We start from the raw sequence: 26,140 nt of genomic DNA, 5'->3' as shown, positions 1-26,140 counted from the left end.
TCCGTTTTAAGCTCTGGTTCTCTCTTTGTGAGCAAACAGCAAGGCACCTACCTCAGGGGTCCTTAGTTGTTTTATTATTATTTTTATTCCTTTTGAAAAATGGAGGGTAGAGTTTGACTGGGAAATTGCTGGAGATTCTTCCAGGTTAAAAAAAAAAGTATTTTATTGTTGAACTTCTCAGAATTTCTTTGAGATTTCTAACCAGAATAATAATAAGATAGTTTAGAGTTTAGAAGAGACAGTCACCTCTGGATACAGAAAGGATAATGGGGATGGAGTAAGGGGTTTCTATCCATCCGTTGGCTTAAAGCCTCATTTCCTGCAGTTGTTCTCACCTCCTCAGCCCAGGTGTCCTTCTTCACTAGCTTTTCTTCCCTATACCTTCTGCTGAATTGGGCAGTTAGAGTTCAGCCCTATCATATTGTGAATACTACCTCCTAAGGGTGAGTCTTCAGGAAACATAAACATTTCCTGATGCTCACTCTTTCCTTAGCCCCCAGCAGTCTAAGTCGTATCCAAGCTTCTGAGCATTATGTGCTTCCCTGAAAGCCATCTCAATCAGTTTTCTCATATTTCTCATTCATAATAACCCTTCTTGGCATAGTGACAACAAGGAATATCAACAGTTAATTTGTTTTGTTTTGTTTTTTGAGATGGAGTCTTACTCTGTTGCTCAGGCTGGAGTACAGTGGGATGATCACAGCTTGCTGCAGCCTTGACCTCTCAGGCTCAAGTGATCCTCCCATCTCAACCTCCCCAGTAGCTGGGACTAGAGGCATGCACCACCACGTCCAGCTAATTTTTGTATTTTTTTTTTTTTTAAGAGACAGGGTCTTGCTGAAGACCCTGGCTAACCAGGCTGGCCTGGAACTCCTGGCCTCAAGTGATCCTCATGCCTTCATCTTCCAAAGTGCTGGGATTACAGAAGTCAGCCACGGAGGTCAGCTGACAGCTAATTCTTAACAATTGACATGGTCAGAGCAAATCGAAGGTAGTGTTTTAACTTTTATGACCCCAAATTTATATTTTTATGCTTTAAATTACTGGCTAAAATAAAAAATGAAAAGGAAACCTGTTTTAGTTTTTTCCTCTGTAGCTGTTAACCTTTATAACCTCAATAACTAGCTCCATCTTTATACATTTAAGGGTATTTTTAAAAATTGTTAGATAACAGTATATAGGAATATGGTATTTTTAGAATATTGATCTAAATTAAAATTATGTATATAATTCTAGGCTAAGTTAGAATTCTAGTAAGACACAGTAGTAAATGCCAAAGGTTTAAGGGAAAAAACATGTTTCAAACTATGCATTGTGGTTATAGAAAAATCTCAGTAATACACATGTGTACTAGTCCTTTCTCACACTGCTATAAAGAACTGCCCAAGACTGGGTAATTTATAAGGAAAAGAGGTTTAATTGACTTATAGTTCCTCTGCCTTATAAGTTTCCTCAAGAAACTTATAACCATGGCAGAAGAGGAAGCAGGCACGTCTTACATGGTGGAGGTGAGAGAAAGCATGTGAAGGAAGCAAAGGGGGAAGAGCCCCTTATAAAACCATCAGATCTCGTGAGAACTTATTCCTATCACGAGAACAGCATGGTGGAAACCGCCCCCATGATCCAATCACCTCCCACCCGGTCCCTCCCTCGACATGGGGGGATTACGGGGATTACAATTTGAGATGAGATCTGGGTGGGAACACAGAGCCAAATCATATCAACATGTAATATCCACATATGAAGTCAGGTGCCTTTCTGGAAAAAGCCTTGAAATGATTGGTTTTAGTTGTACACTCAGACATTGAATGATTTAACCAGATGTACTGTGTTGTGGGAGATGAATGCAGGGTTTGTGTTGGACAACTTTAGGAGACAGTATTATGTTATATTCATATTATGCTACCAAATAAGTGGTGAAAAATATTTGCCAAAGGTGCTAATTTGGTGTTTAGAGAAGTTGATCTCAAGTGCTTATTTTTTCTGACAATAGTCAGCTATCAGGACCAATTGTATGTCAAGTCACCCCTAGTTTGTGTCAGTGAAAAAAGGCTTAAAATCAACTTCTCCAAAGTCTCTGTTAAGTCAGATCAGGCTGGCTTCACTTAGACAGGAAAAGCTCCTGGTTGACCCTCACCTACATGCTCTTTGACACCTCTTCAGCCTGGGCCCAAATTTAGTACCACTTCTGGCCAGTAAGAAGCTATAACAGCAAGAAAGGACTTGTTTAGTGGTAGAATTAACAGGTTTGGCTTAAGGAAGGAGGAGAGAGGCAAACGGAATGCTGAAAATTGATCCTGACTTCCCTGTGGTGAGATTTATTCTATAAGACTTATTCGCAGATTCCACAAATCCAGCCCATCTGATGTGAAACCACATGGCTTCCCTGACTCCTACTTCTGTGGTCTTTCCTCACAGGGCTCAAGGCCTGGCTCCTTTAACTTACCTTGGGGCTGATATCTTAGTATAAGTCAGAGTGAGTTCTGGCTGAGGAAGAAAAAAGAAGCAGAGTATTAATTAGAATATTCTTAAAGCTCCATCAATGAAAACACAGCTGGGATATAAATATTGTAGCCTTCATGTATCTGGTAGAGATTGGCAGAGGCTAGTCTGGACACATGTGCATCCCAAAGTTCCAGAAGAAACTGTGACAGTGTATGCACATTGTGAATTGCAAGGGCCAGGATCTTCTTCCTGGTTCTCATCCCTACAAAACTCAACTGAAAAAAATAGATGGAATATCCAGTCAGCCTTATGAAGGGTGGGAAAGTGTAGTGGGAAGAGCATCAGATGGAGATTCAACACACAATGCTTAGCTGCTAATTAACTGCTGGGAGGTGTCTGAACTCTGTGCCTTAATTCCCCCACCAGTAAATTTGGAAGTTAGGTTTTTGTTGTTGCTTTCAAAGCACCCTTGTACACATAGGGCATTCTACGGCATTTGTGAAGCATGCTCTGCATTTCATAGTGTATTTGTCAAAGAGATCAAGAAATAGACAGCAGGGTTGCTGTTCTTACATTTTTTGTTTCTGTAACAGGGAGGTGTGATCATAGTGGTACAGAAGGCATGGGATGGTTACCTCATTTACAGCGTGTGAACGGCATGGCTTTCTGACACTGAGAGTTGAACCTGCTGTGTTTGCGTTCTTTCTTGAAGCCCAAGCAGCTCCCATAACCCCAAGTGACCTTGATTTCACTCTCTGTCTCTTTTCCTCACCCATATTTCATACTTAGGGACAGTCTAATTAATGGATTCATGATTGGAAGGTCCCACATCTGATTAGATCTCTGATTCATTTTCTGACTTATGCATGTCACCTTTTCACTTAAACTTGGTTTCCACATGCAATATGAAGTTGGTAAAATAGCCATGAATTATTATGAAATGATTTCCTATTACAAAAATGGGGATAATTTGGAAAAATATTCCAGTTTTGCAGCATTAGAAAAAAAGGAGTGTAGGTAAACCTAATGTGATTTATAACTACAATTATAATCTCCCCTCCCACACCAAAATCATTTTTCTAAGTCTGCTTTTTTGGGGGCTAACATTAAAACAAATTATTCTTAATTTGCTGAGTTAACATTTACTAGGAAATAGAGACAGGCTCACTTGAACTAAGGTCATAAAAGTATGACCTTAGGATATCTACAAACAGACGGACAATAAAGATTTGGCAGTATCAGCAAGACATAACTAGTGACAGGTTGTGGGTTTATAAATATTCAGATAGTGTGTGAGATCGATTGCTCACAAAAAGAAGTTCATTGATCCTTGGCATAGAACTCTCTGTTCTGTGCTAGATGTACTAGCATCTTTACACCTGAGTTTAGGGTTTAGAGGTGATATTGGGGGCTGCATCTTTGTGGACTTTTACTAGAATCTCAGTCAGACATATTTTGGGTGCCTAGGGAGCAGTGGTCTCTGTAGGAGGATGGATAAATAGAAGTATTTATATTAATAGGAAGTTAGGGATGTGAATTCTTTGGACACACTCTCTTGTCCCTGCAATTCATGACAACCTGAGAAATTTAGATCATCCCTTGTGGTCTGTCAGGGGAAAATGAGCTGGGTTCTGACACCAAGACAACTACAGAACGTAGTGCCCTATATTCTGTCTACTTATCCAGGTATGAGAAGGATCAACAGTGGCCTTATATTACACCATGCTGCTTCACATAGAATGCATTTCTGGCTAGTCTCTGGGACTGGGAGGCATTTGTTGCCCGACCTGTTCTAGGACAGATTCTTTCGGAGACAGAACATTCTGTGGTCTCACCAAATCACACACAAATTCTGGTTTAACCTTTAAAGGCCATGGAACTATAAAGTTTATTATCAACAAATGTTACTTGTACACCAAAAACTACAAAACATCCCAAGTATCCTTGAAAGAAGCTAAAGAAGACCTAAATGAATGGAAAGACATATAGTTTTCTTAACTGGGATGACTTAATATTGTTAAGATAGTGGTACGCCCCAAATTGATCTACATCCTTAACATAATCCCTATCAAAATTCCAGCCTTTTTTTTTTTCCGAAATGGTCAAAGTGATTCTAAAATTTATGAGAACGCAAGGGAGTCAGAATAGCCAAAACAGTCTTGAAAAAGAACAAAGTTGGAGGAATCACACTTAATGATTTTTTTTTTTTTTTTTTTTTTTTTTTTTTTTTTTTTTTGAGACAGAGTCTCGTTCTGTCGCCCAGGCTGGAGTGCAGTGGCGCCATCTCGGCTCACTGCAAGCTCCGCCTCCCAGGTTCACGCCATTCTCCTTCCTCAGCCTCCCGAGTAGCTGGGACTACAGGCGCCTGTCACCGCGCCTGGCTAATTTTTTGTATTTTTAGTAGAGACGGGTTTCACTGTGGTCTCGATCTCCCGACCTCATGATCCTCCCGCCTCAGCCTCCCAAAGTGCTGGGATAACAGGCGTGAGCCACCGCGCCTGTAAGTTTTAATGATTTTAAAACTTACTACAAATCTACAGTAGTCAAGATTGTGTGGGCTGGGTGCTGTGGCACGTGTCTATAATCCCAGCTACTTGGGAGGCTGAGGCAGGGGGATCCCTTGAGTCCAGAGCTTGAGGCTGCAATGAGCTCTGATCACACCATTGCACTCCAGCCTGGGTCACAAAGTGAGACATTATCTCTAGTAATAATAAGGCTGAAAAGACTATCTTTAATCATAATAAAGAGCAGAAAAAGATTGTCTTTAACAAATTATGCTGGGACAATTGGATATTCACGTGCAAAAGAATGAAGTTGGACATTTACCTCTAATTCAAAATGAACCAAAGTCCTGAATATAAGAACTAAAACTATGAAATTCTTAGGAAAAACCTAAGTGTAAATCTTTGTGATATTGGTTGGGCAATGGTTTCTTAGACACACGTCAAAAGCACTAGCAATCAAACACAAAACTGTCAAAATTAGAAACTATTATGCTTCAAAGGACATTATCAAAAGTGAAAAGACAACATACAGAATGGAAGAAAATATTGCATATGATATATCTAATAAGGGTTTAGTTTCTGGACTATATACTGGGTACTTACACAATAAAAAGACAAATTGCCCAATCAAAAAAAAATGGTAAAGGATTTGAATGTACATTTCTTCAAAGAAGATATACAAGTGGCCAATGAGCACATGAAAAGATGTTCAGCATTATTTATCATCAGGGAAATGCAAATCAAAACCACAGTGAGATATCATTTCATACCAACTAGTTGGGCTACAGTAAAAAAGACAAAAAGCAAGAAGTGTTTGTCAAGGATGTGGAGACACTGGATTCCTTATAAATTACTGGTGGGAGTATAAAGTGATGCACTCACTTTAAAACACAGTTGTCAGTTCCTCAAAATTTAAACATAGAGTTACCATATCAGCAATTTCACTCCTACATATATACCAAGGAAAAAGTAAACATGTCCACACAGAAACTTGTATGTGAGTATCCACAGCAGCATTTTTTATAAATGTGAAAAAGTGAAAACTATCCAAATGCCCACCCACTGATAAATGGCTAAAACAGAATCTGTGTATATCCATACAATGCAATATTATTTAGCCTCAAAAAGGAACGAAGTTCTCATTCATGCTACAACATGGATAATCCTTGAAAACATTTGCAAGTAAAAGAAGCCAGCCAGATACAAAAGTCCACATACTGTATGAGTCAATTTATATGAAATGTCCTGAATAGGTGAATCCATAAAGACAGAAAATAATTCATGATTGCCAGGGGCTAGGGAAGGGAGCAGAGTAGGGAATGATTGCTATTGGGTAGGGGTTTCTTTCTGGGGTAACGGAAATATTCTAAAATAAGGTAGTGGTGATGGTTGCATACTTTTGTGACTATAATAAAACCACTAAATTGCACACTTTAAAAAGGTAAATTTTATGGTATATGAATTATATCTCAATTTATAAAACACAAGTAATATTAAAGGTAATTCTAATTTTGCAAAAAAATACTAGTTTTTGAGAATTTACTGGACAAACAGTATAGGACAGATTTTTAAGCCAAATGATCTGGGTTGGAATCCATCTTCACTGCTTACTAGCTGTGTGATCTGGAGCAACTTACTTAACCTCTCTCTGTGCCCCAGTTTCGTCATCTGGTAGAATTAAATGACTAAATATTTGTGAAGTGCTTGGAAGAGTGCCTAACACATGACTACCACTATATAAATGTTTGCTGTTATAACCGGTGCCATAAACTGTACTAGGTAATAGTGGGAATCAAAACCAGTATCAAGGAAGTTTGTGTTAAAGACAAATATCAGTTAAGGAATAGCAGAGCAGGGTGGATTCCAAAGCAGATTGCTTCACTTGGTTTATTGGCTGGACTGTGCTCCATGCAGATGTGTGAAGAGTCTGGGTTTTGTGCAAGAGGAGGAAGAGATGACACGGATCAAGAATATAACATCTAAATTTTGCCATCTTACTTGGGTCCTGGGAAAAGGCCCAAAATTATGTTAGAGGGGACATATGGAGGAGTAGCAAGGAATGGTTAACAGCACTTAATATATATTTGTTGTTTAATGTAAATAAAAATTAGGCAAAAACTTTTCAGGATTTTCCTCTGGAATTTTGATCGTAAACTCATGATGTTTCTCCTCCTGTTCTGATTTGAAGATTACTTTTTTCTTGAGACGTTTTTATTATTTCATTTCAAAAAGTAAAGGTCAGACTGTTACCAGAAAGGGGTCCCAATTCAGACCCCCAGCAGAAGGTTCTTGGACTTCACTCAAGAAAGAATTCAGGGCTAGTCCATAGAGTAGAGTGAAAGTAAGCTTACTAAGAAAGGAATAGGCAGAGCAGCGGTGTGGGTTACTTGACTGAGTATATTTATAGTTATTTATTGATTATATGCTAAACAAGCAGTGGACTGTTCATGAGTTTTCAGGGAAAGGGATGGGCAAATCCCAGAACGGAGGGTTTCTCCTCTTTTTAGACCATATAGGGTAACTTCCTGATGTTGCCATGGCATTTGTAAACTGTCATGACACTGGTGGCAGTGTCTCTTAGCACGCTAATACATTATAATTAGTGTATAATGAGCAATGAGGATGACCAGAGGTCACTTTTGTGGCCATCTTGGTTTAGGTGGGTTTTGGCTTGCTTCTTTGCCACATTCTGTTTTATCAGAAATGTCACTGTGACCTGTATCTTGGGCTGACCTCCCATCTCACTCTGTAACTAAGAATGCCTAACCTCCTGGGAATGCAGCCCAGTAGGTCTCAGCCTCATTTTACCCAGTTGCTATTCAAGATGGAGCTGCCTTGGTTCAAATGCCTCTAACATATTTCCCTCCTCCCCTTTACAAGGGGACCCTTAATCCTAAGGGTTGTAGAGGGATGACGATCCATCTTCTGTAACTTCTTCTAGCTGAATAGTGGCAATGATATTGATACCTAACTATTAGTGTTTTTTGTATTCAGGGTAGAGAGAAGCTTGGTCAGAAAGTATCAGTATGGAGAGGGCCATTCATAACTCTTGATTTCCCACAAAAGGTAATATCTGGAAGATTAATAAGTGTTCAATTTAAGAAAACATTCAGTAAGCTTATACTGCATTCCTACACAAAGGGTACAAAGCAATATATTCTGCAAGAGTAGAGCAAAATAAGCAAAACTATCCTAAGTAAACTAACAAGGCTTTTTGTGAAGTGGGCAACTGTTAGAACCAAGATGATATGTGGTCACTAACTGATTCCAGTACTTGCCCAGAATTAGAATACTGATCCAGATCTTTATATTACCCATCCATCTTGTTTCTTCTGAGCTGCAGTCAGAGATCACTGGTTGATTTACAGGAATAAGCAGGGTCAGTCTAAATTGCAGAAAAAAACTAAAAACTGATGGGACTAGAATCTAACAACAGGTGTACCATAGTTCTTGAAACACAATTTTTCTATCTCCTCATTTTTACTAAAGACAAATCATAATAGAACTGATTTGTTTGCAAAAATAAGCTTTACTATTATACTTGGCCTGATTATTTATATGAAGTTCAGCAAGAATAATTATTTTTCACATAGGTTCTTTTTAAATTAGCTCTGATGAAACTTTATTCCATAAGTAATTTCAGATAAGACTTTTAAAAAACTCCTTGAGCTCAGCCATGGTTTTGTACCATAAAATACCTAGGAGTTGGATAAATTCTCCTCCTCTTGAGGTCACAAGATAACTTGCCTCCTGGGCCCATCAGAAAATGACATTCTTCACTTACAGGAACCCTGTACAGGGACTACATAGACAAGGTATGAGGCCAGTTTTCCTAAGGAGCTTTTATTGACTCTGTAAGTCAAGTTTGATTCCTCAAAGGAAAGCACTCTATTTCAGTCAAAGACTTGGTAATAAAAACAGTTTATCCAGTTGTGTCCTGTTGCAAAAGAAAGCATTCTTTTTGCAATTATGCAAATAACTATATTCCGTAAGTTAAGCATACTCACAAATAGTTTCCAAATTCTGGAGAAATCAGATAGAGAGAAATATGCTCTAAAATTTTGTTTACAGGAGTATTGCCACAAGCTACAGATAACTCAAAAATGTTCTTGACTCTGAAAAACAAAGCAAAGAATTAGCAATGTTTTAAGCAAAAAGTCATAAAAGGATTATTTCAGTCTTTCATTAGTTCAGTCCATGCAGTTAACTCCTGTTCTGTTTGATATTCATGAACATTTCAGCTCTCCGTGAGAATCATGAAAGTTTTCGCCTCTATCCTAATGTCACAATCTCCAAAGTTATCAGAAACCTGCATTCAAGAGCACCTGTCAAATCCTGTTACTGACTATAAGGCACCTTTAAAAGAGGATCAAAACAAGACAACAGTTGTCTGTGAATGACAGAAAGTCTTAGGGCAGCCACAGTCAGACATGATTAACAAGGAAATATGGTTACCTCTGTGGCACACAATAATATTATGTAACAATTATAATTACTAATAACATACTAAGTCATATTAGAATTATAGGAGTTTCCCATAATTTTGGGACACATAACCAAGAACATATTTATTCAAATACAGCCCAAAGAAAGCCAAACACAATTTTATATTTTATAATGCTTCCTGTATGATTTCTACAGATTTTTATACCACATTAAGCCAAATATGTCTCTTCTGGACTTTAGGGGACCTAATACGAAAAGATTAATTAGGTCAGAAAAAGACATAATTTACCATTTGATTTTGGAAAGTTTGTCAAATATTGAAGGTTTAACCACTTGATTATTAGAAACATAGAATCTCAGGTCACCGTAAGTCATTCATTTAGCCAAAACGATAACTCAAAAATTTTAAAAAGACAAAAAACTTTACTCATTAATAGAGGGAAGACAGCTTTCCACACAATGTCTCTTTTCCTTCCTTTCTTTTTCTTATAGTTTATTCAAAAGGCAAACAAAATTTCGTTTTTAAAAATATTACACAAAAATCTTATTCAAGAGAGAAAGCCAGATTTTACAGTGTACTGTTAATGTCAATCCCAATTCTTAATAAAACATTATAGACAAATCTATTCAATCGTAAGCAGTTAGACCAAGAGGTAAGATTCCCATAAACCTTTTTAAACTCTTTACAAATTTTTGTTAAGGAGCAGATCACTGCTCTAAGAACACCCTGTTGTGCTTTTATTCCAATGTTCAATTTACAGAAAAACTGAATAAGACCCCTTTAACTTTAGCCGATATGTTCACACAGAATTTCCTTCACAAGATTAATTTTTCACAAATCTTCCACAATTTGCTCAAATTTTCAGCTTCATCCTAACTTTTAAGTGAGGATAACTTAACTTAGAACCCCTTAGCCTTCTAAACTAGGCTAAAAAAAATTCACATTCCCATGCCTTCTTATAATCTTTTACCAAAAACACATTTCACTTTCCTTACACACCTTGCATGTTAAAACTGTTTTTCCAGTAGTCTCAATTATATGTTACAATGTTAACTCTTAGCAACTTTTATTTTTGGTGCAAAACCTGGTAAGTAAGTGATTTTAATTAGGTACTAGGTGTGAAGCCTAGGACACCAGAGAGAAGTACAAGATAAGGTCTGATTCTTTCCAGCATTGCCAGGGGGCATGTCTAATTCTACATATCCCCAGGACTTATCTAGAATCTAATGGCTCTAAAGCAGGTATACCAAACAATTTTCAAAAGTCAAATAAGCAGTTTATGACCTTAAAGTATTTAGCAAATCTAATTATCTGATCTGCCTAATTTAGACCAAATGTCTAAATTTGGAAGACATTTTTATTTTACCAATAATCTTTAAAACTGTCTTTATTTCCCAAAGCTTCCTAAAGTCACATGAACTAAAAAGCATTACAGTTTTTATTTTTCTGACAAAATATTTAAGTGCTTATTATTTTTAAACCAATTAATCAGAGCTCTTTCATATATAAATGTTACACATACAACACATATGACTACACAACAGACAGAAGATCCAGTAGTTGTAAGATTTTTCATTTGCCAATTTTTAAGTTTCTTAATTGAATTACTGGCTTCAGGGAGGAGCCCTTTGAGGAACAGGGCCAGGAAAGCATGCAATTTCTAGAGCCTAATAGGCAGGCACAGCTGGAAGGCAAAACAGATTTCAAAAATTTAAGGGTCCCATTTTTATACCAGATCTTGGATCCCAAAAAAGAGGAAATCAGCCCACCTCCTATGGAACTCTTATCTCTCAGTGTGGCAATGGGGACACTTCCAGTATCTTCCAGGTGGTCAAGAGTATGCTTCTCTGATCCAAACATGCAAAGAGTTAAGTATCCCCCATAACTTCCATTAGCCATCCCTAAAAGTATGTTTCCTACCTAGTTATTACAAACCAAAGCTCTCTCATAATAAGAAGTAATTTCTGATACCCACAAAAGTCAAAACTGTCAGATAACACAATACAAAATGAAACAAAGCATTAGATTTTGAGAGGGATTTATTTATCCCCTTTCAATTCTAGTGGTTTCATAAGGAAAACAGAGGCTTTTTTCCAAAACAGGATCTGTGGCAACTCCTCTGTTTTTCCCAAGGAGTCTCAAGCTGTTAGAAATTATCTTAGATCCCCTCATGTGTATCAAGAGTGGCAAGAAGATAAAACGGAGAAAAACAATTGTATTAATCCCTTGTTTTTTTGTTTTTTGTTTTTTGTTTTTTTTGAGATGGAGTCTCACTCTATCGCCCAGGCTGGAGTGCAGTGACGTGATCTCGGCTCACTGCAAGCTCCGCCTCCCAGGTTCATGCCATTCTCCTGCCTCAGCCTCCCAAGTAGCTGGGACTACAGGTGCCCACCACCATGCCCAGCTAATTTTTTGTATTTTAGTGGAGACAGGGTTTCACCATATTAGCCAGGATGGTCTCTATCTCCTGACCTCGTGATCCACCTGCCTCAGCCTCCCAAAGTGCTGGGATTACAGGTGTGAGCCACCGCACTCAGCCCTGTATTCATCCATTTTCATGCTGCTGATAAAGACATACCTGAGACTGGACAATTTACAAAAGAAAAGCTTTAATGGACTTACAATTCCACGTGGCTGGGGAGGCCTCACAATCATTGTGGGAGGCAAAAAGGAGGAGAAAGCCATGTCTTTTGCCTGTGGGCGACAGGCAAAGAGAGAGAGCTTGTGCAGGGAAACTCCCACTTTTAAAACTATCAGGTCTCACGAGACTTATTCAGTATCACAAGAACAGCATGGTGAAGATCTGCCCCCATAATTCAGTTATTTCCCACTGTGTCCCTTCCACAACACATGGGAATTATGGGAGCTACAAGATGAGATTTGGGTGGGGACATAGCCAAACCCTATCAACAATTTAGTCAACTGAGAAGAAAAAAACTTTTTCCTCAGAGAAATAAGATCCAAGAAGAGAAAAAACATAAAAACCTTTTAAATATACGTATAGCTCATATATCTTCTTTTAATTAAAGCTGACTTTTAACCATAGCACTTCAAAAATGCTTTTAAATCTCTTATTACCTGACTTCAGCCAGGCCACACAATCCATTTTTCTGGCTTTTAAGCTTTACCAAAGGTAACCTCCCAGATGAAACCAGTAAGCTTTCACTAAGGTTATGACTTAATCACAAGTGTACCAGTATTTTAAAAGAGATGATTAGCAGTTTTTACAAGATTTAGAGTCTACAAGGTGCCTCAGAGAAAGGAAGATTCAAGAAGGGAAGATAGAAGTTGTTCATGGGGGGAGGGGATAAAATCAACAAATGGCAAAGATCACACCAATATCAACCTGAAAGTACTCATTCCCTAAACCAGAAATTGAACGCTGAACCAGGGATGCCATTGTGAAAAGGCAAAGCCTTAGCTACTAAGCTACAGCATTGGGAAGTTTCCATTGCCTTCTCAGAAAGAGCCTGGAGCAGACAATTTTGAGCCAATGAAGGCTTTTAACTGCTCAAAACAATTTTTAGAGCTAACTTTGTCATAAACTCCAAAATTGCTGTCCTCTGGATGGCAGAAACTAAGAGAAAGTACTGCCACATGGTTACAAGGTCAAGCTCCCAAGGATATAAAACAAGATGAGAGAGAAACCCTATCTAGCTTATGGAGTCCCAAGCCTGTGTTCTATCCCAAGGTACCTCCCCTTTATGACAGAATAACACAGAAAGACAAATTCAAAGCACAAAATACACCAGATTCACTACAGCATTAAGACTAGCCTCATGAATCCTTTTATTCATTAATTAAAACGTTGCAAGAGAGTGATTTCTACCATTCCTACAACTGGTTTGTACAGAGAGGGAGGAAAGGGAAGGGATAAAAGTGTTGCCTACAGTGGGGTGGGGAAGGCAAGGAGCTCAGAGAGACTAGGTAGTGAAGGATCTTTTCTAGCAGTCCAGTCAGCTCTCAAGTTTCCCACTTTGGGGAGAAAAAAGCTCCCCGTGTCTGGTGATCCTGTACATGCCTATTCCTGTCATCCATATCTGTCAGCAAAGAGTGCAAGGCAGATTAATCCAAAGAGAATAGCAGTTAACATCCCATAGTGTCAAATCCACTTTTAACCAAGAAGGACTTTACTGAGAGGGGCCTCTAATCCCTAAATCTTAGGAAGGACTCTAACCTTTCTAAATTGGGCCTCAAACTCAAGTTTCATTAAGCATCCTTGCCTTTTATTAGGAGGGGCCTTAACCCTCTCTGTCTTAGGAGAGACTCTCCTAAGTTGGACCTCTAACCCAATCTGATCCTTTACCTGGGCAAAACATACCCCGCCCCTTACCTAAAGTCTGCCAATTGGCAGTGCTGTGGTCTATTTCCTTTGGGTCCATAGGATTCTCCTCAGTATAGTCCCTTCATGGTTTCCAGGAAGATGTTATTGGAAAGGGGTCCCAATCCAGACCCCAAGAGAGGGTTCTTGGATATTGCTAAAGAAATAATTCAGGGTGACTCCATAGAGTAAAGTGAAAGCACATTTACTAAGAAAGTAAAGGAAAAAAGGAATGGCTACTCCACAGGCAGAGCAGCAGTGTGGGCTACTTGACTGAGTATACTTAGTTATTTCTTGATTATATGCTAAACAAGGGGTAGATTATTCATGAGTTTTCTGGGAAAGGGTTGGGAAGTGAAGGTTCCACCCTTTTTTAGACCACATAGGGTAACTTACAGATGTTTCTGTGGCATTTGTAAACTGTCAGGACACTGGTGGGAGTGTCTCTTAGCATGCTAATGCATTATAATTAGTGTATAATGAGCAGTGAGGATGACCAGAGGTCACTTTCATGGCCATCTTGGTTTAGGTGGGTTTTGGCTGGCTTCTTTACTTCATTCTGTTTTATCAACAAGGCCATTGTGACCTGTATCTTGTGTTGACCTCCTGTTTCATCCTATAACTAAGAATGCCTAACCTCCTGGGAATGCAACCTAGTAGATCTCAACCTTGTTTTACCAAGCCCCTGTTCAAGATGGAGCTGCTCTGGTTCAAATGCCTCCAACAAGGCCAGTCTTTAAACATTAATGCAGTGCCACGTTTTTGTTCCCAGGACAAGTCAAGAATCCATGAGGGTAGCAGGTATTGCTAGCAATATTCATATACCTTTGCTTTAAACTGCTTTCTGTATCAGTCGGAGCACATCTACACTTCTTGATGTTCCTGTAGCTCTGACTCTTTCTGTCAACATACAGGATGTACAGATTGTACTAAAGGGACTGGAAGGACTGGATTTTGAGGAAATGATATAAGGTATTAAATTTCTTGCTTAAAATGATAGAGAAAAACTCTTATCCACCTTTTCTCAGGTTTTACACTTCTGAATTCTCATATGTAAATATATTTTATATATCTTAGTTTCATTATAGTTCTACTTTCTTGGGTACTCCTCATGAGGTATCAATAAATAATCATAAGATCTTGTATTTGTACTGATTGTTATACATCTCAAATACTTTACATGCAACTCTCTAGAAAAGGTATGTTAATTGGGCCAGGCATGGTGGATCATGCCTGTAATCCCAGCACTTTGGGAGGCCAAGGTCGAGACCATCCTGGCTAACATGGTGAAACCCCGTCCCTACTAAAAAATACAAAAAAAAATTAGCTGGGCATGGTGGTGGGCACCTGTAGTCCCAGCTACTCGGGAGGCTGAGGCAGGAGAATTGCGTGAACCCAGGAGGCGGAGCTTGCAGTAAGCCGATATCACGCCACTGCACTCCAGCCTGGGCAACAGAGTGAGACTCCGTCTCACAAAAAAAAAAAGAAAGAAAAGATATGTTAATTGACTTGCCAAAGGTCACACAGGAAGTCATTGACCCAGTGTCATAATTGAGATCTCCTGACTCCTTTCCCTATTTCAGGAGAAGTTTCTTCCTTTTCACCAAGCATTTCTCCTAGAACTTTCCATTGAGAAATAATTTAGGTGAGGAAAACAAGATGAATTTCAGAGCGGAGGGAAGTTGAAGCCAAAGTGAAGATTACTGTCAGGACCTCATCGTACTGGAGACTATATTGGTGCAAATATAGCATTATTCTAAAGTTCATTTATCTTAGATTTTTTCCAGAGTGCATCTCATATTACCTCTCCTTAGACTCGTTAACCTTTTTCTTTCTAAGAACTATAAGTAGTGATCTAAGACAAGATAAAAAGTGTGGTCAACAAATGATACGGCCTTGAGTAAAGTTGGCTTGAAAGTCTGTGAAAGAAATACCAAAGCCTGAAGGATTTAACAGATCCTCAAGTTATTCAGCATAGAAAAGCTTTACTTCAGGAAGCAAGGGTACTTCAGAAGAGATGGCCTTGCGCCTGTCTACATGACAGGAGAGGGAAGGATGTGGGGAATATGATAATTCTTCCTTGGATTTCTGAAATACTTGTATTCTAAAACTTTAAAGTACTTTCATATGTTTTATCTCATTTGTGCTGTCAAAACATCTCTGATTACATTGCGCAATTCTATGACCCGTTATTTTACAGATTAGGAATTAAAACCCAGGGAAGTGATCTAACTTGCTGAAGATTACATACAAATGAGGGAGAAATGAATGAAGGGAGGAGGGGGAGAGAAAGAATGTGTGTGAGAGAGAGAGAGAACTAGAATAGTGGCTGCCAATGTAGAATCTTATCTAATAAATTAGAGTCTGGTGAATTTTCTCCGGATTAATTAAGAAAAGGAGATAACAAGAGTTTAAGGCGGGGTTCCCAAACTTGGCTGCATATTGGAATTATCTTAGGAGTTTTACATAAATCTCAATACCTGGTTCCTATTCCCAGAGTCTGATTCTGATTTAATTGGTTTGAGATACATCTCAGACAATGGGATTTTTAAAAAGCTCCTCAAGTAGAACCACTGGCTTAAGTCTTCGTTGTTAGAGCCTAGGAAAAGAATAGTACAAAATCTGCTGCATCCACTTTAATATGCCTATGACCTTTTAAATTTGAAAACTATGAAGCAATTTACAAAAAAAAAGAATAGAACAATTGACAATTTAAGACTTAAAAAAGTAGATACATTGCAGAAGGATGGTAAGAAAACTGTACTGAAGCATAAGTAAGATTTTCTGTAAAGTCAGGTGTCAGGAAATAATTATCTTATTCCTGTGGAATATACAGAAATGCGAGTGGTATTATGTTATCATATTGATGTTACATAGAATGAAGTTCTTACCCACAAGGTGAGGTCGTTCAACAATGTCATAATTTGAGGAATTATAATAATGATATAGTAATTATTATAGGAATATTCTTATTATTATAGCTATCATAGGAATAATTAGTAACAGCTACTGCTTACTATGTACTAGGTGTTGTTCTAAGTGCATTATCATGTAAAATTGTTTAATTATTACAATGGCTCTTTGTGTTAGATAATATTGCAAACCCAATTTACAGATGAGAAAACTGAGCATTAGGAGAGATTAAGTAATTTGCTTAAGAGTACAAAACTAATTATAACAGTAGGAGAGGTGGGTATACTGGATTTCAGAAACGGGCTGGGCTATGCTTCTGAGACTTGTAAGAAAACTGGAAACTGAGCTGAAACCTAGGAGTCTGAATAATAAATATGCCTTTATCATGGCAGATATAAAAGACCATAAGGAAAGAAGTGAGTGAGCCCAGCATTTCGCTCATGCATACAAGTTTAGAGCAGGAAAAGTGCAGGACCAAGGCAGGAGGCTGTTGGGCTCCAGCGTGGTCCTCTTAAGATAACAAGCTAGCTGCAGTAGAATTGCAAACTTCAACTTAGGAAAATACACACCCCTGCATACACACCTCACACACCCAAAACCACACTTGCACACACACTGCTCCCACACTTTTTTTTTTTTTTTTTTGAGAAGGAGTCTCGCTCTGTCACCCAGGCTGGAGTGCAGTGGCACGATCTTGGCTCACTGCAACCTCCGCCTCCCGGGTTCAAGTGATTCTCCTGCCTCAGCCTCCTGAGTAGCTGAGACTACAGGTGTGTGCCACCACGCCCGGCTAATTCTTGTATTTTTTTTTAGTAGAGACGGGGTTCTGCCATGTTGGCCAGGCTGGTCTCGAACTCCTAACCTCAGGTCATCCGCCTGCCTCCGCCTCCCAAAGTACTGGAATTACAGGGGTGAGCCACTGCGCCCGGCCCTGCTCCTGCACTTTCAGTTCACTGAATTGGTTTCCCAAATTTACTTAACATTTAGCAAGTCTTTGGGCAACTCTCATTTTATTGTGTCTGTGCTAAGAAGAAAGAAATTTTAGCTACATTTATGCTAATGCGTTGAAGGAAAGCCACACTCTCTTCAGACCACTGGGGTGGGGCAGTAGTAATCAAAAAGGGAAGCTTGATCAGGAGCACAAAGTTGGAACCACTGATTTGAAAAGTAATTATGTTATACAAATAAATTCTTGCTAGAAGAGGCACTTTTAGCTACTATCACTGAAGAACAATTTTACTTTCTTATTAATTCTCACTAGAATCCTCTGATGTAAGCAGGCAGAATTATCTCAGCTGTATAGGTTAGTAAACCAAGGCTTCAATAGATTAAGATAAATCCACCCCTAACTCTGACACTGGTTCTTTTATTCTTTCTCCTTTACTACAGTTGGATGGAGATGATACATTAACTTTGTTCCTGGGAGTCCCAACTTGGCTTTCTCCCAGGTCGGCAAGATAATGCCTTTAGCAAGCAACAATGAAGCTTGTTAAACTCAAGATTTTTTTTTTTTTTTTTTTTTTTTTTTTTGAGACAGAGTCTCTCTCTCTCCCTCAGTTGCCCAGGCTGGAGTGCAGTGGTGCGATCTCGGCTCACTGCAAGCTCCGCCTTGGGTTGATGCCATTCTCCTGCCTCCGCCTCCCGAGTAGCTGGGACTACAGGGGCCCGCCACCACGCCTGGCTAATTTTTTTGTATTTTTTAGTAGAGACGGGGTTTCACCATGTTAGCCAGGATGGTCTCGATCTCCTGACCTCGCGATCCGCCCGCCTCAACCTCCCAAAGTGCTGGGATTACCGGCGTGAACCACTGCTCCCGGCCTGAAGCCATTAATCTTGATTTAACGGTTGTACTTTGTCTTTAATTCTAAACACTAGTTCTTTAGGAAGATTGTTTTCCCTCTTGGTCTTTTTTTGTTACCATCAGCCAATTTTCTTTTGTATTTCTGCTATCAAACTTTTCTGCCTTGTAGCCTTTCTTCCTTTGCATGTTCTTATTATAAAATAACTAAGGCTTAATTCATTCCATTTGGAAAATAGAAAATAGAGGAAAAAATTATTAATAGTAACCATCATCACTGTTGCTGTAACATTCTAATATATTTTTCTTTGGGCTTCCCCTACACAGGTGTTTTTCCCAGTCAATTTCATTGTACTCTTGCCATATATACCTCATTAAAATGTGCCTTTTTACTTAACCCACTAACATTACAAATTGCTGTTTATTAAACATTTTTGTGAACGTAAATTTAATAAATGTGTAGTATTCCATGGTCCAACTGTATAAAAATAATTTGAAACATCCCTCCTTTTGATGAAAATTAGTTATTTTTTCTATTTTTAATTTTTTTCCAGAAAATTTCAAATATGTACAAAAGCAGCAAAAATAGTACAATGACTTCCCATGTATATCCCCTGAATTTGGCAATTTTGAACACATGGTTGATTTTTTTTTATTTACATCTCCACCTATTTCTCCTCCTTCAAGTCCATGAATTATATTTTGAAGCAAATCCCTATTTATATTTTCAAAAAAATTAAATAAGGGTCACAGATTTTCTTGTGTGTTCAGAAACATCTTCCATTTTTAAAAAACATACATATAATTGACATTTGGGAGAGAAATTACAGAGTCAAAATTATGAATGCCATTCAGGCTCTCAATTTTCATAGTGCCAAGTTATTTTTCATAAATGTAGACATTCAGATTCCTTGTCAGTCTTACAAGAGTCATTTTTAAATAAAACTATTTAGGGAATAAACATTAGTTTTCAAATCTTCTTTTCTGCTGGGTGTGGTGGCTCACACTTATAACCTCAGCACTTTGGGAGGCTGAGGGTGGGAGGATCACTCAAAGCCAGGAATTTTACATCAGCCTGGGCAACATGGCAAGGCCCCATCTTTACAAAAAAATTAAAAATTAGCCACCCGGGAGATCAAGTCTGCAGTGAGCCAAGATCACATCACTGCACTCTAGCCTGGACAACAGAGTGAGACCCCAGCTCAAAAAATTTAAAAATAAATAAATAAATAAATAAATAATATTTTGTCTTAAATGGATTGGCAAAAAATGTATCTTGTTTTATTTTAAAGTATTTTTAAAATTACTAGTTAAGATAAAAATCTTTCATCTTAGTTCAACATGCTTCCATATTTGTTAAACATTTTGTTTCAGTGAACTCATTTACTTTTGTTTTTCACGTTTTTGACTATTTATTTATTGGCATATTAGTGGTTTTCTCATTACTATAAAAGTACTATGTTTTTATTTGTTTATTGATTGATGTTTCCATTGTGATTTTTTTTTCTGTTGGAAGAAAGTTTTTTGTTTAAGCTTAGGAAGTTATCACAAACCCAATATAATTTATAATGTTAAGTTTTTTATGTCTCTTAAAGCATCTAGCTTTTTTCCCAAAATTTATTTTGTGTACAGGTGAATCAAAAATATAATTTTTGTTATCAAACAAGTAGTCCATTGCCTAAATTCCATTTGATGAATAATCTATCTTAGTACTTCTCAACCCCAGCTGTATGTTAGTATCTCCTGGGAAGCATTTCCTTGATTGAAGCTGATATCTGAAGTCATAATCTATGGGGTTTATAATCATCATAATCTCTAAGAGGAGTGGTGTATTAGTCCGTTTTTATGCTGCTGATAAAGACATACCTGAGACTGGGCAATTTACAAAAGAAAGAGGTTTAATGGACTTACAGTTCTGAGTGGCTGGGGAGGCCTTACAATCATGGCAGAAGACAAGGCAGAGCAAGTCACATCTTATGTGAATGATGGCAGGCAAAGAGAGAGAACTGTCTTGTGCAGGGAAACTCCCCTTTATAAAACCATCAGATCTCGTGAGACTTATTCACTCTCACAAGCACAGGAAAGACCTGCCCCCATGTTTCAATTACCTCCCACTTTGTCCCTCCCACAACACATGGGAATTCAAGATAAGATTTGGGTGGGGACACAGCCAAAACATATCATTTTACTCCTGGCCCTTCCCGAATCTCATGTCTTCACATTTCAAAACCAATATTGCCTTCCCAACCGTCCCCCAAAATCTTAACTCATTTCAGCATTAACTCAAAAGTCCACAGTTCAACATCTCATCTGAGACAAAGCAAGTCACTTCCACCTGTAAGCCTGTAAAATCAAAAGCAAGTTAGTTATTTCTTAGATACAATGGGGATATAGACATTGTGTAAATACAGCTGTTCCACAGGGAGAAATTGGCCAAAACAAAGGGGATACAGGCCCCATACAAGTCTGAAATCCAGCAGACCAGTCAAATCTTAAAGCTCCAAAATGATCTTTGACTCTATGTCTCACATCCAGGTCATGGTGATTCCAGAGGGGGGTTCCCATGGTCTTGGGCAGCTCTGCTGCTGAGGCTTGACAGGGTATAGCCCCACTCCTGGCTGCTTTCATGGGCTGGTGTTGAGTGTCTGCAGCTTTCCCAGGCACATGGTGCAAGCTGTTGGTGGATCTACCATTCTGGGTTTTGGAGGATGGTAACCCTCTTCTCGTAGCTCCACTAGGTGGTGCCCCAATAGGGACATTGTGTGGGGGCTCGACCCCACATTTCCCTTCTGCACTGCCCTAGCAAAGGTTCTCCATGAGGGCCCCGCCCCTGCAGGAAACTTTTGCATAGGCATCTGGGCATTTCCATACAGCCTCTGAAATCTAGGCAGAGGTTCCCAAGCCTTAATTCTTGACTTCTGTGTACCCACAGGCTCAACACCACATGGAAGCTGCCAAGGCTTGGGGCTTTCACTCTCTGAAGCAACAGCCCAAGCTGTACCTTGGCCCTTTTAGTCACAGCTGGAGCAGCTGGGACACAGGGCACCAAGTCCCTAGATTGCACATAGCAGAGGGACCCTGGGCCCAGCCCATGAAACCATTTTATCCTCCTAAACCTCTGGGCCTGTGATCAGAGGGGCTGCCTCAAAGGTCTCTGACATGCCCTGGAGACATTTTCCTCATTGTCTTGGTGATTAACATTTGGCTCCTTGTTACTTATGCAAATTTCTGCAGCTGGCTTGAATTTCTCCTCAGAAAATGGGATTTTCTATTCTATCACATTGTCAGGCTGCAAATTTTCCAAACTTTTGTGCTCTGTTTCCCTTATAAAACTGAATGCCTTTAACAGCACCCAAGTCACCTCTTGAATGCTTTGCTTCTGAGAAATTTCTTTGTCAGATACCCTAAATCATCTCCCTCAAGTTCAAAGTTCTACAGATCTCTAGGGCAGGGGCAAATGCCACCAGTCTGTTTGCTAAAACATAACAAGAGTCACTTTTGCTCTGGTTCCCAACAAGTTTCTCATCTCCATCTGAGACCACTTCAGCCTGGATTTCATTGTTCATATCATTATCGGCCTTTTGGTCAAAGTCATTCAACAAGTCTCTAGGGAATTTCAAACTTTCCCACAGTTTCCTGTCTTCTTCTGAGCCCTCCAAACTGTTCCAACTTCTCCCTGTTACCCAGTTCCAAAATCACTTCCACATTTTTGGCTGTCTTTTCAGTAGCACCCTACTCCTGGTACCAATTTACTGTATTAATCCATTTTCACGCTGCTGATAAAGACATACATGAAACTGGGCAATTTACAAAAGAAAGAGGTTTAATGGACTTACGGTTCCAAGTGACTAGGGAGGCCTCCCAATCATGGTGGAAGGCAAGGAGCAACAAGTCACATCTTACGTGGATGGTGGCAGGCAAAGAGAGAGAACTTGTGCAAGGAAACTCCCCCTTATAAAGCCATCAGATCTTGTGAGACTTATTCATTATCATGAGAACAGCATGGGAAAGACCTGGCCCTATGATTCAATTACCTCCCACTGAGTCCCTCCCACAACATATGGGAATTCAAGATGAGATTTGGGTAGAGACACAGCCAAACCATATCAAGTGGGAAATGAACATCAGGATTGATATTTTTTAAAAATGCCTCCTAGGAGATTCTAATGTGCTCTCTGGTTTGAGAACCACTCATCTGCTTATTTTGATTCTTGCTGACTTCTTTATATTAAAGTCCTAAATATGTGTCTCTTTTTCTGGGATACTTATGTGTTCTATTAATCTATCTCTCTGTTTTTCAGTGTGTGTGGGTGTGTGTGTTTAGGCTTTGTAAAACATTTATGCCTGATACAGGCCTCTCCATACCAAACTTTGCTTTGTTTTTTTTAGAATGAGAGATTACTGCATGTTGGGGTATTACCAGTTCCCTTTCTTATCTTGCTGGAGCCCTAAGTTTCCAAAGAAATCAACTGTGAAATCTCTCTCTGAACTCCTCTTTTCAGTCCTCTCATTCATATAGGTCGCAAAGATCATAGAAGAGCCCCCTAAACACATTTTCTCCACATCCTCACCACCTATTCATTCCCAGAACCACCCTGCTCTCTGGCCACTGCACTATAGCTATTCTTTCTATGATGGGTGACCTCCATGTTGCCTGTATCTGCTACTTATTGTTTTCCTGACCTGTCATCAGATTTTAGCCCAGCTGTTGTCCATGCCCCTCTCCTTTGCTTCCACAACAGCACAAACTCTTGGTTCCCCTTTTACTTCTCTAGTTTTTCCTTCTTAGGCCCTCTTTGAGTTTCCCCCTGGACCCCAATTCCTCTTCCTTCATGTAGCCCTTATCCGTTGGAACTCCATGGATTCTTTCCTAGGCCCTCTTTTCCTCTCTTCTCTTTTTCCTTTTTGTTCATTTTTTCCTCTTTCTCTCTTATTCACTTTCAAGCTTTCAATATTATCTAATGACTCCCAAATATTTATCTCTGGTCCAGACTTCCCTTATGAATCCTAAGAACTGTACAACCAAATGCTTTTTTCTAATATTCTACTTAAAAGTCACACTGGCATCTTAAATCAAAATGTCCAGAACAACTCATCATCTCCTCTTCTTTGATTTCTCCTTCTCCTTCTTACCTTCTACAACCACTGTGTCCTGTTGGTTCAATCTCCTCAAGGTTTCCAATCCATTATTTTTCTTTTTTTTACTGTCACTACTGTAATCCAAAAAATGATTATGAAATTATTAGTTTCACAATTGATATTCTCGTATGTATTTATTATCACCTGCAATTTATTACTCAATTGCTGCAAAACTAATACTCATTTTTACTTTTCAATTTGAAATGATTAAAGGTTCACAAGTAGTTGCAAAAATAGTATAGAATCCAATGTAACAATTACCAATTTTCCCAATGGGAACATCTAAATAACTGTAGTAAATTATCCAAATTATGAAACTGACAATGGCACAGTATAATGAACTAGAATGTAGAGTTTCCTGGGATTTCAGTTTTTGCATTCACACATTATCTTTTTCCTCTCTGTGCATAGTTCTTTGATATTTTATCACATGTATAGACTCATGTAATTTTCACCACAGTCAAGATACAGAATTGTCTGTCACCATAAAGAAACTCCCTCATGCTACCCCTTCAAAGTCACACCTTCTCCCTGTTCCTACTGGTAAACACTGATCTATTTTCTGTCTCTCTAATTTTGCCATTTTGGAAATATTATACGGATGGAACCATACAGCATGTAACCTTTTGAGACTGGCTTTTTCCACTCAGCATAAAGTCCTTAAGTTCCATCTAAGTGTTGCATGTAGGAATAATTTGTTCCTTCTTATTGCTAAGTAGTATTCCAAATAATTTTTTTTTTCTAAAATACAAAATGGACCATGTCACTCTATTTAAAGCACTTCAGTGATACTTAGAATAAAACAAGCAATGTTTAGCATGGCCTAAAGGCTCATTATGATCTGCCTCTCGCCTACCTGCACAGTGCCATCTCTTCGTGTTTTCTCCTCTCTTGTTACTGTCCAGGCCCACTGACCTTCCAGTTATGAGAATGTATCAAGCTCTGTTCCCATCCAAGGCCTGGATATTCCTCCTCTCTTGCCTTGTGGCTGTGCCCACCTTTATCTAGTCAGCTCCTACTTATCATTTGCTTAAATACTGTTTACTTAAAGAAACTTTTTTTGACTTCCTTCCTATTGCCCCGTTTTTATAGCACCCTAAACTTCTCCTTCATAGCAAAACATATTTAATAATTTTTATGATTAATTATTTAACATCTGAGTGAATGACTTGGTATAAGGCTGGCCCCCCAAGGAATGATGTGAGATAAACTAACTAGATTGTAGAAGTGGAAGAAGTAGAGCTGTCTTGAATGGACAGTTCAGTTACAGAGCAAAATTCAGGCAAGAATTAGCAACTCAGGTTTTCAGTGTGGCCAGCAGAACATAAAGGTAATGGGTTCAGGGGTGTGAATGAAATAGGAATGAAGTAGAGTGGAGCAGGATGATGGTCAGTAAAGAGGCATTCAACCATTGTGGTTGCATTTATCTGGGAGGCTTTTATATTAGTAGCAAGAGCTCAGTAATCAGAGTATAAAGTAAAATTTCAATCTCACTTAGGATTGATTTAGGCAAAGAGAGGACAACACGGCCCCATCGACTTGTGTGGCATTCAGGTGAGGGCTCCAGATTTGAGAGGGTTTTGTTAATAGGCATGAGTAAGTGGGCAGATTTGGGGAAGTGGATAAAGGCTACATCTTCCCCAAATTGGAGAGTATGTAAGATAAATAGGATGAAGAGGACTGAGACTGCTGATCTCCGTAATGCCCCCGTCAGAATTGGTTCAGGATCTGGGTGGAAATTAGCCAGCATATAAGTGATATCAGCGGAACCAGTACAAGGAGCTGAAAAATTTAGAGACAGAAGAAATCAGGCAGGTGCTGATATATTTTCCCTGATGAATACCATACCACTATCTAGCATTCTTTCCATTTCTGTACCTTACTTTACAGCATTATGCTATTTGATTTATCTGGTTTAAATCTCTCTTTCTCAACATGATTGTTAAATTCAGATATCTACTGGCAGCTGTACTATTTCTGCTATCAAATGACACCTAGTTGAAGTATAAAAAGTTTTAAATCCTGCATTAACTTTTTGATTACTTTAACTCCCTCTCTGTGCATAGAGTATACTTACATGCACAAATATTATAAATATTTAGATAAAAGATTTTTTGTTTCATTTTGTTATTTTTGGTTATACATGTTTACCTGATTGATACAGCTATGTGACTATTTCCCAACTGGAAAGGCAGATGAAGAAGGAAGGGAGGAAGAGGGAGACTAACACATATTGATGATCGCAATGGCTCTGGTAATGTTCTAGGCATTTTACAGAAATTATGCTGCATAGCTCTCAACAACCCTGGTAGGTAGTTATCATCAGCAGCACTTTACATATGGGAAAACACCTTCACAAAGTTAAAATACGTTATACAAAGTCATCATGAATGATAGGAATGAGATTCAAATGGAAGCCAAACTCCAAAGTCTTACCATTATAGCACAGGAAATTCTATGCAGGGTAAGTGTAGGAATAGATATCCATCAGATTCCAGGGCTGCCATGATATGGGTAGGAAGATGTGGATGAAAGGAAGCCTCCAAAATTTGGGAGCTCTTGCAGGGACAAGG

The 26,140-nt window shown here is 38.8% G+C and overlaps 1 protein-coding gene across 6 annotated transcripts in view; it reads left to right on the top strand.

Annotated features, from left to right (window-relative positions):
• Positions 1-26,140, top strand: part of STYK1 (serine/threonine/tyrosine kinase 1) — a 55,130-nt gene that overhangs the window by 5,773 nt on the left and 23,217 nt on the right. Inside the window, exon 1 of one of the 6 annotated variants that reach the window (XM_011520737.2) lies at positions 825-991. The exons of the other annotated variants lie outside the window; for them this stretch is intronic. The gene's annotated coding sequence lies outside the window, so the exon portion shown is untranslated. Of the gene's footprint in view, positions 1-824; positions 992-26,140 lie in introns of those variants that run through there. 6 annotated transcript variants of the gene reach the window in all.

This window comes from Homo sapiens, chromosome 12 (genome assembly GCF_000001405.40).
Source record: "Homo sapiens chromosome 12, GRCh38.p14 Primary Assembly".
NCBI classification, from domain to species: domain Eukaryota; kingdom Metazoa; phylum Chordata; class Mammalia; order Primates; family Hominidae; genus Homo; species Homo sapiens.
This window is presented reverse-complemented; position numbering and strand designations above follow the sequence as displayed.